This window comes from Homo sapiens, chromosome X (assembly GCF_000001405.40).
Source record: "Homo sapiens chromosome X, GRCh38.p14 Primary Assembly".
NCBI classification, from domain to species: Eukaryota; Metazoa; Chordata; class Mammalia; order Primates; family Hominidae; genus Homo; species Homo sapiens.
In genome coordinates, this window is record NC_000023.11 from 20833071 (window position 1) to 20848997 (window position 15927).

Here is a 15927-nt window from a genome sequence, read left to right on the forward strand (position 1 = left end):
GGGCAAGTATTTCAAACTTTTATTAGGAAAAACTTTATTGGTATTTTAAACTCAAACTACATAAGTGGTCATTCTCGTGTGAGGCTGTCTTGATTACTATAGTTTTATAATAAGTCTTCAATCAGAGAGTATGAGTTCTCCAAATATGTTTACTTAAAATGGTACACTGTATATGTATGTTAATGTAACAACCACCTAAAACATGATACAGAACTATTCCATCACCACAAAGATCTTTCTTGTGGTACCTCTTTATAGTCATGCACAACTTTTTACCACCCCCCACCATCCATAACTCCTGGTGACTACTAATCTGTTTTCTAGCTCTATAATTTTGATATTTCAAGAATGTTATATGAACGGAATCACACAATATATTATCTTTTGATATTGGCTTTTTTTCATTCAGCACAATGCTCCTGAGCTCTATTAAACTCTTGTTTGAATCAATAGTTTGTTGCTTTATATTGCTGAAAAATACTTCATTATATATATGACATATATATTAATATGCACAAACACACACACACACACATCACAGCTTGTTTAACCATTCACCTACTAAGGAACATTTTGGTCGTTTGCAGTTTCTGACCATTAAAAATAAAGCCGCTATGAACAATTGTGCACAAGTGTTGTGTGGGCATAAACTTCATTTCTCTAGAATAAGTGCCTGAGAGTTCAACTGCTGGGTCATATGGTAGGTGTATGTTTCTCTGCATCCTTGCAAACAGTTGGTGTTGTCACTATTTTCTATTAATATTTTAGCCACTCTGATGAATATATAGTGATATCTCATCATTATATTAATTTGCATTTCCTTAATAGCTACTGATGTTGAACATTTTCCGTATGATTATTTGCCATCCTTTCATCCTCTTTGGGGAAATGTCTCTTCATGTCTTTTGCCCATTTTCTAATTACACTGCTTTTTTTTTTTTACTGTTCAGTTTTGAGAGTTCTTTTTATATCATACAAATGAGTCCTTTGTCAGGTATGTAGTTTGCAAATATTTTCTTCCAGTCTGAAGCTCATCTTGTCATCCTTCTAGCAAGGTCTTTCACAAAAAAGTTTTAAATTTTGATGAAGTCCAATTTTAATATCTTTCTTTTATCAATTACACTTTTGGTGTCTTGTCTAAGAACTCTTTGCTGTCTTAGGTCTCAAACATTTTCTTCCATATTACATTCTAAAAGTTTTATAGTTTTAGGCTTTATATTTACATTTGTGACTCATTTGGAGTTACTTTTAACGTAAATTATGAGGTTTAGGTTGAAGTTCACTTTTTTGCCTATGGATATTCAATTCAGCATCATTTGTTGACAAGAATATCCTTCCTCCTTTAAATTGTTTTACTGCCAAAAATAAGTTGGCTATATAAGGCTATGTGGGATTATTTCTGGGTTTTCCATTCTGTTCCAATGACCTATATGTCTACCTCTTCATCAATATCAACACAGTTTTGATATCTGTAGCGATATAGTAATTCTTGAAATAGGGTAGATTGATTCCTTCTACTTTACTCTTCTTTAAAAAGATTTTTTTTTTTTTTTAGCTATTCTATGTTCTTTGGTCTTTCCATATGAATTTTAGGATAGTCTTTTCTATATCTACAAACAAGTCATGCTGAGATTTTGATATTTATTGTATTAAACCTGTATATCAAACTATGAAGAATTGACTTTGTTTTTCTATTTTGAGTTTGCCGAGTCATGAATATGGTACATCCCTCCATTTATTTAGAACTTTAATTTCTTTCATCAGCATCGTATAATTTGCAGCATGCAAGTTCTATAGTTGTTTTGTTAGATTTACACCTAAGTATTTCATTTTTCTTAAGAACAATTGTAAATAGTATTATATTTACTATTTTGGTTTTCACAGTTTATTGTTAATATAGAGAAATACAAATAATTTTGTATGTCAATCTTATATCCTGTGACTAGAAATTTTGTTGTAGATTCCTTGGGATTTTCTATGCAGACTGTCATGTCATCTACAAATAGGGACAGTTTTATTTATTCCTTCCATATATGTGTGCCTTTTTCCTTTTCTTGCCTTATTGTGCTGGCTAGAATTTCTAGTATCAAATGAATAGCAGTGATGAGAGCAGACATATTTGCCTTTCTCATCCTAGAGTGAAATTATTACATCTTTCAAAATTGTGTTGTTAGCTGTAGGTTTATTTGATCATTTTTTATAGATGTTCTTTATTAAGAATGTTTTCTTCTATTACTAGCTTCCTCAGAGTTTTAATACTGCATGAGTGTTGAACTGTGTCAAATGTGCTCTTTCTGCATCAGTTGATATAATCACGTGATATTTTTTCTTCTTTAGCCTGTTGGTATGATTAACTTTAACTGAATTTTGGCTACTGAATCAGCCTTACGTCCCTGGAATAAACTTTATTTTGTCATGAACATACGAGTACATGTGTCTTTTTGTTAGACTGATTTATTTTCCTTTGGATATATACCCAGTGATGGGATTGCTGGGTCAAATAGTAGTTCTATTTTAAGTTCTCTGAGAAATCTCCAAACTGCTTTCCACAACAGCTGAACTAACTTAAATTCCCATGAACAAAGTATAAGCATTCCCTTTTCTCCACAGCCTCACCAGCATCTGTTTCTTTTGACTTTTTAATGATAGTCATTCTATTAGTAAATAGTTTAGATGGTGTCTCATTGTAGTTTTGATTTGCATTTCTCTGATGATTAGTGATGCTAAGCATTTTTCGTGTTTGTTGGCTACTTGTATGTCTTCTTTTGAGAAGTGTCTGTTCACATAGTTGCCCACTTTTTAACGCAGTTTTTTTTCTTGTTTATTTGCTTAAGTTTCTTACATATTTTGGATATTAGGCCTTTGTTAGATGCATAGAAAATATTTTCTCCCATTCTGTGAGCTGGCTGTTTATTCTGTTGATAATTTCTTTTGCTGTACAGAAGTTCTTTAGTTTAATTAGGCCCCGCTTGCCAATTTTGTGTTTGTTGCAATTGCTTTTGAGGACTTAGCCATAAATTCTCTGCCAAGGCTAATGTCCAGAAGGGTATTTCCTAGGTTTTTATATTTCTAGGTCTTACCTTTAAGTATTTAATCTATTTTGAGTTAATTTATATATTGTGAAAGTAGGGGCCTAGTTTCATTCTTCTGCATATGGCTAGCCAGTTATCCGAACACCATTTACTGAGTAGGGAGTCCTTTCTTCATTGCTTGTTTTTGTCAACTTTGTTGATGATCAGATGATTGTAGTTGTATGGCTTTATTTCTGCATTCTCTATTCTGTTCCACTGGTCTGTATGTCTGTTTTTGCATGAGCACCATGTTATTTTGCTTACTGTAACCTTATAGTATAGTTGGGTAATGTGATGCCTCCAGCTTTTTTCATTTTGCTTGGGATTGCTATGGCTATTTGGGCTCTCTTTTGGTTCCAAATTAATTTTAGAATAGTTTTTCTTAATTCTGTGAAAAGTAACATTGATAGTTTAATTGATAGGAATAGCATTTAATCTGTACATTACTTTGGGCAATATGGCCATTTTAACAATATTGATTCTTACTATCCATGAACATGGAATGTTGTTCCATTTGTTTGTATCATCTCTGATTTCTTTGAGAAGTAGTTTGTAATTCTTGTTGTAGAGATATTTCATCTCTCTGGTTAGCTGTATTCTTAGATATTTTATGTTTTTTGTGGCTATTAGAAATGGGATTACATTCTTGATTCTCAGCTTGAATATTATTTTAGTATAGATACACGACTGATTTCTATACACTGATTTTGTATTCTGAAACTTTAATGAAGTTGTTTATCAGTTCCAGGAACCTTTTGGCAGTCTTTAGAGTTTTCTAAGTATAGAATCATATTGTCAGAGAAGAGAGATAGTTTGACTTCTTTTCTGATTTGGATACATTTTATTTGTTCCTCTTGCCTGATTGCTTTGGCTAGGACTTCCAGTACTATGTTGAATAGGAATACTGAGAGTGAGCTTCCTTGTCTTGTTCCAGTTCTCAAAGGGAATGGTTCCAGCATGCCCATTCAATATGATGTTGGTTTTGGATTTGTCATATTTTGAGGTATGTTCTTTCAATGCCAGTTTGTTGAGGGTTTCTATCATAAAAGGATGTTGAATTTTATCGAAAGCTTTTTCTGCGTTTATTGAGATGATCATATGTTTTTTGTTATTAATTCTGTTCATGTAGTGAATAACAATGATCAATTTGTGTGTGGGGAAGCAACCTTGTATCCCAGGAATTAAGCATATTGATTGTAGTAAATTAACTTTTTGATATGCTGTTGTATTTACTTTGCTAGTATTTTGTTGAGGATTTTTGCGTCTATGTTCACCAGGAATATTGGCCTGTAGTTATATTTTTTATTGTGCTTTTGCCAGACGTTTGCATCAGGATGATGTTGGGTTTCTATAATGAGTTAGGGAGGAATTTTTTCTCTTTGATTTCTTGGAATAGTTTCAGTAGGATTGGTACCAGCTGTCTTTGTACGTCTGGTAGAATTCACCCATGAATCCATCTGGTCCAGGACTTTTTTTGGTTGATATGTTTGTTTATTATATTTTAATACTGATTCAATTTCAGAACTTTCACTATTGGTCTGTTCAGGTCTTAAAGGTCTTCCTGATTCATTCTTGGGAGGTTGTGTCTTTCCAGGAATTTATCCATTTCCTCTAGATTTTCTAGTTTCTGTGCATAGGGGTCTTCATAATAGTCTGTGAGGGTCCTCTCTAATTCTATGGGATTGGTTGTAATGTCACCTTTGTCATTTCTGATTGCGCATTTCTCTTTTTTTCTTTGTTAATCTAGCTAGCAGTACATCAATCTTGTTTATACTTTCAAAGAAACCACTTTTGGCCTTGTTGATCTTTTGTATGGATTTGGGGGTTTCTATTTCATTTTGTTCTGTTTGGATTTTAGTTATTTATTTTCTTCCACTAGTTTTGGGGTTAGTTTGTTCTTGTTTTTCTAGGTCCTGTAGGTGCAATGTTAGATTGTTGCCAGAGTTTTTGCACTGATTCCTTCTTATCTGAGGGGGCTGATATTTCTTTAGCTTTTTAAATTGCTGTCATTTAGATGGGACTTTTTGTTTTTTTTTATTCTTTTTTTTCCCTTGAGGGTTTAATTGTGGTGTATGCTGTGTCACTTGGCTTTATTTCTGGATGTTTTCAGAGGACGAAGGCCCTGTGTGGGCTCCTTAGTTGTGACTAAATTCCTGCATTAGGTTTCACAGGCTATGTGTGCTGAAGGCATTTATTTTTGTTTGGTGGTGTAACTCAGGCTGCAATATAGTAGACGACACTTAACAGTAAGAGCTGGTAGATAGGCTGTTACTCAGCTGCACACCTCTTTTGTACTTAAGTGTGTTTTAAGCAGTGATCTGGAGAGGGGTAGATGGGGTGGTGGTGAGAGACAACCCTTTCACCAAGTCCATTCCCAGGCCTCGGTGGAACCCCCAGCCAATGTCTGGTGCTGTGCTTGCATTTCCTTAGCCCCAAGAGTGGCCCTGGTGGGTTGTACTCCCTCCCAAATGTTAGGTCACCAAGAGACCCACAACTGGCCATGGGTCTGCTGGTCCTCTGAGCTTGGAAGAGTCAGACCGGGCTGTGGGGTATGTCTGCAGGTGGTCTGATGATGCAGTGGGTCAAGGGTGGAGAATCCCTAGGCAGAGGTGGTCGTGCCATGGGTGTACAGTTGGTGTGGTGTCCACAGCCTGAGATTTTTTGCCCAGCAGATGACTGTGGAGACCTCCCAGCTCACACTCTCTTGACTGGGTCTCCCTCCAGTGTATGTCCCAGGAATAGGCCCAATCAGCTAGTTTTGTCCCAAGTCCTATGCATCCAGATCCCTGGGCTATTCCAGGCCATGGCACTCTCTTGGGTAGAAGCTGCAGCTGACCAACAGGCTACACCCTTCGTGGACCAGTCTTGCAGAAGAAGGGATGCCCAGCCCCCATGCCAGCACACAAACCTGTGCCTTAGTCTTTTCAGTATTCTTGGGTTGGGGGCTCCTCCCTTGATCAAGCTCAGGGCACAGACTTCAGCTCAATATCCTTTGGCAGGATGCTTGAACCCTGGGGGTTTGAGACCTTTGGCAGGATGCTTGAACCCTGGGGGTTTGAGACTGGGTCCGTGGCTTCATCTTCTGGCCCTTCAGGGTTGAGCACTGGCAGTGCTGGGGGACTAAACTATTCCCAGGCTACTGACAAAACAGTCAGGTGGGGCAGCAGAGACTGTGCTGTGTGCAACCTCTTGTGGAAATGGCCAGGCAGGAGCCTTTGCAGGGGTTGGTGGACAAGGGGCACACAGATCTGATGTGCCCTGGTCCCATGGGATAGGCAGCCCTGCTCTCTCCCTGCTAGCAGTTAACAGGGACTAGACATACTCAGAGCAAGATGGAGAACCTTGGGGATGAGCACCTATGGTCGTGTTTTGCTGCAGCTTCCGCATGCACAAAATCTTCTGGGTTCCACGCGGTTTGAGCTCTGCATCTGCCTTTTTTCTAGGTAGTTCCCCTTGCCAACTCAAATGTCTATGGGATCATATCTCTTCTAGCTAAAATCTTAGAAGTTCATGTCAGAAGTGTGGTGCTCTGGAGTTCCTTCACTCACCCCTTCCTTAGGAACTGCTGAGGTTGAGTAGTCAGTCCTGGTACTTGATGACTCCATGCAGGCTTCCCGGCTTTCTTCTTCTTCAACCCTGAAGGGCAAGAGGATGAAGGCATGGACCCGGTCTTAAACCCCCAGGGTTTGAGCAACTGCCTAGGGATATTGAGCTGAGGTCTGTGCTTTTCTATCAACTTTCAGTGTTTTCTCTTAAAAGATCTGTTCAAAGTGTGATAGTTTACTTGATATTTTGGTTTCTGTCAGTAGGAGAGGTGTTTCCTGGATGTGTCTAGTCAGCCATCTTGTCCTATCTCCACAAAGTTTCTCTGCTGAGTTCCTGGTCTCAGGACACGAAATGGGAAATTCCCTGGTGGGTCTTCCAAAAGTTGGGTCTGATCACATATGGCCTCTGTACCTGCAGGCTTCAGGTATGGTGGGTCATTTCCAAACTTAGAAGTGATCTGTGCCAAGGCTCTGGAGGTTCACTGCAGAGATATCCTTTCTTTTTAGGGAATTACACTTAGGCATTCTTTTAGCGTTGTTACACTAGTGACAAATTCTCTTAGTTTTCTTCATCTTGACTTTACCTTCACCTTTATTCCTGAGGATATTTTCACAGAATGTAGGATTCTAGGTTGACAATTCTTATCTGTCAGAACATGGAAAATGTGCCACTTTTTTCCTGGCCTCCATAGTTTCTGATAAGCTCTTCTATCGATGAAATTGTTTGACCCTATAGAAAATGCATTGTTTTTCTCTGGCTATTTTCAGGACTTTTCTTTGTCTTTACTTTTCACATGTTTAATTATGCTGTATCTTGGTGTGGATTTCTTTAAGATTTCTCTGTTTGAGCTTCATTCAGCTTCTTGAATCTGTAGGTCATTTTGCTTTTGCCAAGTTCAAAAAAATTTCAGCCACTATGTCTTTGAATACTTTATTAACATAACTCTTTTTCTCCTCTCTTTCTAAGACTCTGATAACATAAATATTAGGTTTTTTAGTTATAGCCCTACAAGTCCCTGAGGATCTGTTCATTTTTTTTTAAGTCTATATCTCCTTGTCATTCAGATTGGGTAATTTCTATTCTTCTATTTTCAAATTTACTGATTATTTCCACCTTCTTCATTCTTTTGTTTTAAACCCCAACATACTTTGTTAAAATTTTTGCTTTAAATCATCAGTTATCTTCCAAAGAGAGAAAAATAATGAGAAAAGCATTTTATGTTTTCCCACATAATTACTATTTCCAGTGCTTTTCCTCCCTTTGTGTAGATACAGATTTCCATCTGATACAATTTTCCTTCTGTTTAAAATACTTCCTTTAACATCTCTCATAGTTCAATTCTGCTCTTGATGGATGATTTCAGGTTTTGTACATCAAAAAGGTAATTATTTCACCTTCACTTTTGAAACATATTTTCACTGCTTATAAGAGTCTAGGCTAACAGGGTTTTTTTTTTAATTCATTTGGTACCTGAGATATGTTGTTCCACTGTCTTCTGTCTTGCATTATTTCTAATGAGAAGTATGTTGTAGTTCTCATCTGTTACCCTCTATATAATGTAATTTTTTTCTCATGGGCTGCTTTCAAGAATTTTTAAAATCAATTATTTTCAATGATTTGATTATAATGTACCTGGATATTTCTTGGTGTTCATATTGCTTGTGCATGGGATTCATTCAGCTTCTTGGAACTGTTTATTTTTTTAGGTAGGCTAGTAAATCCAGTCCCTGACAGTCCACCTTGGTCAAAAGCAGAAGTCCTGCATTACTAATTTTTAGAGGTCTCCAGCCATTTCTTATGTGCAATTAGGGTTGAGAACCACATGGTGATAGACAGAAGTGGACAAATGTCAAAAACAATTATGAAGTAAAATGGCCAGACTTGATCATTGAGTGGAGGTGTGGAGGTGGATGGGAGGTAAAATGTGGTTAAAGAAAATGAAGATACAAATAGACTTCTTGCCTCAGTAACTGTGCATTGAGAAGGATGTTGAAATACAGAACTCTATCATCAATATAGTTTTAAGAAATGGAAAAAACTAAATTTGATAAACCTGAAATCTGTCCAAGCAGAGTCATTTTTTTAAGAAATTAGTCTAAAAATCAGAAGGCAAATACAAAGTGAAGGAATATATGTAAGTAGAATTCATATGCATGTAGATGATAGGAAAATTTATAGGGTGCACAATATCGGCAAAGAAGAATGTTCAGAGTGACACACTCTTAATCTTCAAGCTGCTATTCCTTTTGAGGAAACAGGAATTTGATGACTCAATGCCCAAGTAGATATTTAAACAATGAAATTGAGAAACTTATTATTTCTTTTACCTTTGTTATCTGTTTAAACTGTTTATCCATTTCAAAAGTTTGACTGAATGTAAAAAATATTTAAATTATTACACTAAAAAAGTAGGGATTTATGAGATATCAAGTAATCCTGGACCAACTTTTCTTTTCAAAGTAGGAAGACCTACCTTCATATAACTCATGAGGATATATAGATATTTAATTTTAAAATATGAAATCATCTACTTTTTCTAAGCCTATGATGAATTCTAGTTGGTGACATGTAAGAAAATTAATTCATTCTTGAAATTTTTGTAGCAGAATGGACCATAATGTGGAACTTTATATTTTTTGTGAGAAAACTAGTATGTTGGAATTTCTAGCAGTTTTGAGGGTAGACTTCAAGTCTCTTAATTGCAGATCTTTTTTAGCCTTGCTTTTTTTAATACCTGTGCAAGGAAAATAGCCCTAATGAAGTAAGAAGTCTCCCTGTAATGTAACTCTACGACAAGTTCTCTTTTTCTCTCTATTATAATTACCTTTCAACATCCTGAAGTCATCAGAAGAGTCTGGAGTTAGACTTGTGTTTGTGATGCTTAGGAGACTGGAGAAAGGAGTTCTTCCCAATTTTGGGGTGCAGAACTCAGAAAAATTGGGGTAAATGTCATCAAAATGTCTAGACATGATTGGTGAATAAGTTGCAGATGCAACAACCAGCATTGTTGCTTTTGGAAGAGTCCTCAGAAAGAGTGGGGAGAGAAAACGATTCCACGCAGTAATCATATTTGGAAAATCAAGAAAGGGAAAATCCCAGGAGGCTGGAAAACTTAGAGCACTGAGCTTACTTTTCAAAATCCTCTCAAAATGATGACTGTACAGTTCATCTTTGATTATCTGGCCATATAATTAATCAGTGTATCTTCCTGTAAAACAGCTGAGAAAAATAATAAACAAATAATAAACAAGTAAATGAAATAATAAGCTGCTCATACTTCCTTACCTTTAATTGCCCATAGTGCCCATGTTTTTGATTATAATGCATTTTGTTCAGGAAGGCTTATTGGCCTTTAGAACTGTTCATTCTTTGGGGATGTCAATACACACTTTTCTGGATTTTTAAATGATCTCCATTAGCTTTCAATCACCAGTGATTTTCTTCTTGGATCTTTGGAGGGGCAAAATTTGAATCTTTCCCAGCCTGCTATTGTAGAAAGGGCACAGGCACCAGAGGCAGACGAACCTAAATTCAAATTTCAGCTTAATGATCTTGGGCAAATCCATTTGACTTGACATTGACTTCATCGTCCGTCTGTTCTCATTTTAAGCATCTTTCTCAAGCTATTCTCTAAGATATCAGTCTGATACTCAAGGCAAATTAGAGATGTCTTTTCAAAGCACAGTTTTAATGTTTATGGCAAAAGTAAGGTGCTACATTATGGTGATAGTAACTTAAGTGTATACATTGGTTCACAGTCACCAAAATTTATACATTAATTATATGCAGTTTTTGACACATCAATTATACCTCAGTAAAGTTTGGAAGGAAAGACTAAGATGCTGGAGAAAGACTTTGGAATAGGAGGATGTCATAAAGCTCATTCTGTGGACCTAACAATTACTTTTTTAAAAAGTCTTACAGGAGGCTATCATCTTTAGCAAACTAACACAGGAACAGAAAATCAAATATCTCATGTTGTCACTTACAAATGGGAGCTAAATGATAAGAACTTATGAACACAAAGAAGGAAACAACAGACAGTGGGCTCTACTTGATGGGGGAGGGTGGGAGTAGGGAGAGGAGCGGAAAAGTTAATTGAACTTAATGCCTGGGTGATGTAATAATATGTACAACAAATCTCCATGACATGTTCATCTATGTAACAAACCTCCACATGTACTCCCAAACCTAAAATAAAAAAAATTTTTTAAAAGCCTTACAGGAAAAACAATTATCTGGTAATAAAATACAAACACTCTCTCTAAAGACTTCCTTTAAAAGTCTTCAAGGAAGTTTTTTTAAAAAAAGATATTTATCCATGCTTAAAAAAATATGAGCCTTAATTGAAAAACTGACAATTCTCTGACCTTAGTAAAATGTAACATCCTCCAAACAACTGGCATGGGAAAGTAAATAGTTTTTTTTTGTATCAGTGGATGGTTTAGCTTAGTAACAATATGGCTAAATAATTTCTGTAAAGCCTGAAGTGCCTGTTTTGAAATGTCTGAGATATTATTTGTTTGGTGGTAGATTGGGGGTGGGGTATATGGAAATCAGCTCTAAGGATGACATGACATTGTTAGTAATGAACGTATTTAAAATAGGACTCAGGCAAGGCTATTTGCAGAGCTGCCTGACTGGTGTGAATCTGCACAGACATATTTCTGGACTTCTGTTTGCAACTCATGGTAATTTACAGAGTAAATGGCTCAGGATGTGCAAAAGGGAACAACAGCCTATATAGATTTCAGGGGACTAAATGGAAATCTTCCTCCTTGACACAGGAAAATTGGCATGTGATGAATAGCTGATGGCTGGAATTTTATGCTCTTGCATAAAATTCAATTTAATTTTCTTTAGGTTTTAAATCAACTCATTGATAATGTGTTAAAATGAAGAAAAGGAAGCATTTAGCCTTTGGGAATGTATTTACCCTTCAGTAGATGCTATTTAATAGACAAGATTTAACTTGCTTGAAATATGAAATTACTTTCTATGACTACCATATTCACCATTACTGTAGAAATGAACACTAAAATGTTTGAATATGCACAAAGGATATCAAACAGGTGCATTTATTGAGTACCTGGTATGCCTCAGGCATTGTGATAAACAATTTAAATACATTATTTCATTTCATCTGTATTCCAGTTCTACTTACACTTAACTACCATTTCACCCTTAGGCAAATCATTTAAAGTCTCTGAATTTTTTTTGTTTTCTCATCCCTATAGTAGAAACTTTAATAAGTGTCTTGCTTTCTGGTTCACTAGTCTATGCATTCAATACATATTTACTGTGTACTTATTATATACCAGTAGTTGTACTAGATGCTGGGGATACAACAGTGAATAAGGCGTTTTCCTGCCCAGAGGTTATTTGGTTTTTTAAACATGATGTATGTAGAAATGTAAGTGTGTATTTTTTCCAACACTTATTAAAAAAATAACCTTTTAAGGTGGCACATCTAACAAGGTTGTTACAGAGATCAACTGAGGTAATGTCCAAGAAAAGTACTTGATAAGTGATAAAAGGATATAAACCTACTTTGATGAATATTGGAAAATGGAGTTAATATTAAATCAACAAATTCCTTATGGATAAAAAATACTTTCAGGCTAAAATTTAATATTAATCTCTGAAAAAGTGTAGTTATGATTTCATTAACGTGAACTGCAAATTATTGCTGGGATAATTGAAACGAGTCTAATATTCATGAAAAACTGCTGCTCAGTAAGAGTATAATGTGGGATGGGGGTGGAGCCAAGATGGCCGAATAGGAACAGCTCCAGTCTACAGCTCCCAGTATGAGTGATGCAGAAGATGGGTGATTTCTGCATTTCCATCTGAGGTACCAGGTTCATCTCACTAGGGAGTGCCAGACAGTGGGTGCAGGACAGTGGGTGCAGTGCACCGTGCACAAGCTGAAGCAGGTTGAGGCATTGCCTCACTTGGGAAGTGCAAGGGGTCAGGGAGTTCCCTTTCCTAGTCAAAGAAAGGAGTGACAGATGGCACCTGGAAAATCGGGTCACTCCCACCCTAATACTGCGCTTTTCCAACGGGCTTAAAAAACGGCACACCAGGAGATTATATCCTGCAACTGGCTCAGAGGGTCCTACCCCCACAGAGCCTCGCTGATTGCTAGCACAGCAGTCTGAGATCAAACTGCAAGGAGGCAGCAAGGCTGGGGGAGGGGCGCCTGCCATTGCTCAGGCTTGATTAGGTAAGCAAAGCAGCCGGGAAGCTAGAACTGGGTGGAGCCCACCACAGCTCAATGAGGCCTGCCTGCCTCTGTAGGCTCCACCTCTGTGGGCAGGGCACAGACAAACAAAAAGACAGCATTAACCTCTGCAGACTTAAATGTCCCTGTCTGACAGCTTTGAAGAGAGTAGTGGTTCTCCCAGCACATAGCTGGAGATCTGAGAACGGGCAGACTGCCTCCTCAAGTGGGTCCCTGACCCCCGAGCAGCCTAACTGGGAGGCACCCCCCAGTAGGGGCAGACTGACACCTCACACAGCCAGTACTCCTCCGAGACAAAACTTCCAGAGGAACAATCAGGCAGCAGCATTTGCGGTTCACCAAAATCCATTGTTCAACAGCCACCGCTGTTCTGCAGCCACCACTGCTGATACCCAGGCAAACAGGGTCTGGAGTGGACCTCTAACAAACTCCAACAGAACTGCAGCTGAGGGTCCTGTCTGTTAGAAGGAAAACTAACAAACAGAAAGGACATCCACACCAAAAACCCATCTGTACGTCACCATCATCAAAGACCAAAAGTAGATAAAATCACAAAGATGGGGAAAAAACAGAGCAGAAAAACTGGAAACTCTAAAAAGCAGAGCACCTCTCCTCCTCCAAAGGAACGCAGTTCCTCACCAGCAATGGAACCTCACCAGCAATGGAACAAAGCTGGACGGAGAATGAATTCGACCATTTGAGAGAAGAAGGCTTCAGATGATCAAACTACTCCGAGCTACAGGAGGAAATTCAAACCAATGGCAAAGAAGTTAAAAACTTTGAAAAAAAATTAGACGAATGGCTAACTAGAATAACCAATACAGAGAAGTCCTTAAAGGACATGATGGAGCTGAAAGCCAAGGCTCGAGAACTACGTGAAGAATGCAGAAGCCTCAGGAGCCGATGCGATCAACTGGAAGAAAGGGTATCAGTGATGGAAAACGAAATTAACGAAATGAAGTGAGAAGGGAAGTTTAGAGAAAAAAGAATAAAAAGAAATGAACAAAGCCTCCAAGAAATATGGGACTATGTGAAAAGACCAAATCTACGTCTGATTGGTGTACCTGAAAGTGATGGGGAGAATGGAACCAAGTTGGAAAACACTCTGCAGGATATTATCCAGGAGAACTTCCCCAATCTAGCAAGGCAGGCCAACATTCAGATTCAGGACATACAGAGAACGCCACAAAGGTACTCCTCAAGAAGAGCAACTCCAAGACACATAATTGTCAGATTCACCAAAGTTGAAATGAAGGAAAAAATGTTAAGGGCAGCCAGAGAGAAAGGTCGGGTTACCCACAAAGGGAAGCCCATCAGACTAACAGCGGATCTCTCGGCAGAAACTCTACAAGCCAGAAGAGAGTGGGGGCCAATATTCAACATTCTTAAAGAAAAGAATTTTCCACCCAGAATTTCATATCCAGCCAAACTAAGCTTCATAAGTGAAGGAGAAATAAAATCCTTTACACACAAGCAAATGCTGAGAGATTTTCACCACCAGGCCTGCCCTAAAAGAGCTCCTGAAGGAAGCACTAAACATGGAAAGGAACAATCGGTACCAGCCACTGCAAAAACATGCCAAATTATAAAGACTATCAAGGCTAGGAAGAAACTGCATCAACTAAAGAGCAAAATAAGCAGCTAACATCATAATGACAGGATCAAATTCACACATAACAATATTAACTTTAAATGTAAATGGGCTAAATACTCCACTTAAAAGACACAGACTGGCAAATTGGATAAAGAGTCAAGAACCATCAGTGTGCTGTATTCAGGAAACCCATCTCACGTGCAGAGACACACATAGGCTCAAAATAAAGGGATGGAGGAAGATCTACCAAGCAAATGGAAAACAAAAAAAGGCAGGGGTTGCAATCCTAGTCTCTGATAAAACAGACTTTAAACCAACAAAGATCAAAAGAGACAAAGAAGACCATTACATAATAGTAAAGGGATCAATTCAACAAGAAGAGCTAACTATCCTAAATATATATGCACCCAATACAGGAGCACCCAAATTCATAAAGCAAGTCCTGAGTGACCTACAAAGAGACTTAGACTCCCACACAATAATAATGGGAGACTTTAACACCCCACTGTCAACATTAGACAGATCAATGAGACAGAAAGTTAACAAGGATACCCAGGAATTGAACTCAGCTCTGCACCAAGTGGACCTAATAGACATCTACAGAACTCTCCACCCCAAATCAACAGAATACACATTTTTTTCAGCATCACACCACACCTATTCCAAAATTGACCACATAGTTGGAAGTAAAGCTCTCCTCAGCAAATGTAAAAGAACAGAAATTATAACAAACTGTCTCTCAGACCACAGTGCAATCAAACTAGAACCCAGGATTAAGAAACTCACTCAAAACTGCTCAACTACATGGAAACTGAACAACCTGCTCCTGAATGACTACTGGGTACATAACGAAATGAAGGCAGAAATAAAGATGTTCTTTGAAACCAATGAGAACAAAGAAACAACATACCAGAATCTCTGGGACACATTCAAAGCAGTGTGTAGAGGGAAATTTATAGCACTAAATGCCCACAAGAGAAAGCAGGAAAGATCCAAAATTGACACCCTAACATCACAATTAAAAGAACTAGAAAAGCAAGAGCAAACACATTCAAAAGCTAGCAGAAGGCAAGAAATAACTAAGATCAGAGCAGAACTGAAGGAAATAGAGACACAAAAAACCCTTCAAAAAATCAATGAATCCAGGAGCTGGTTTTTTGAGAAGATCAACAAAATTGATAGACTGCTAGCAAGACTAATAAAGGAGAAAAGAGAGAAGAATCAAATAGACGCAATAAAAAATGATAAAGGGGATATCACCACCGATCCCACAGAAATACAAACTACCATCAGAGAATACTACAAACACCTCTACACAAATAAACTAGAAAATCTGGAAGAAATGGATAAATTCCTCGACACATACCTCCTCCCAAGACTAAACCAGGAAGAAGTTGAATCTCTGAATTGACCAATAACAGGCTCTGAAATTGAGGCAATAATCAATAGCTTACCAACGAAAAAAAGTCCAG

General features: G+C 37.6%; 2 annotated features.

The window, feature by feature from the left end:
• Positions 12221-12722: an enhancer, noted in NCBI's record as "H3K4me1 hESC enhancer chrX:20863409-20863910 (GRCh37/hg19 assembly coordinates)". NCBI's record gives its function as "activates a minimal SCP1, AML or CMV promoter by ChIP-STARR-seq in naive H9 embryonic stem cells {active_cell/tissue: H9 hESC(naive)}" and the evidence as "EXISTENCE:reporter gene assay evidence [ECO:0000049][PMID:30033119]".
• Positions 12723-13222: an enhancer, noted in NCBI's record as "H3K4me1 hESC enhancer chrX:20863911-20864410 (GRCh37/hg19 assembly coordinates)". NCBI's record gives its function as "activates a minimal SCP1, AML or CMV promoter by ChIP-STARR-seq in naive H9 embryonic stem cells {active_cell/tissue: H9 hESC(naive)}" and the evidence as "EXISTENCE:reporter gene assay evidence [ECO:0000049][PMID:30033119]".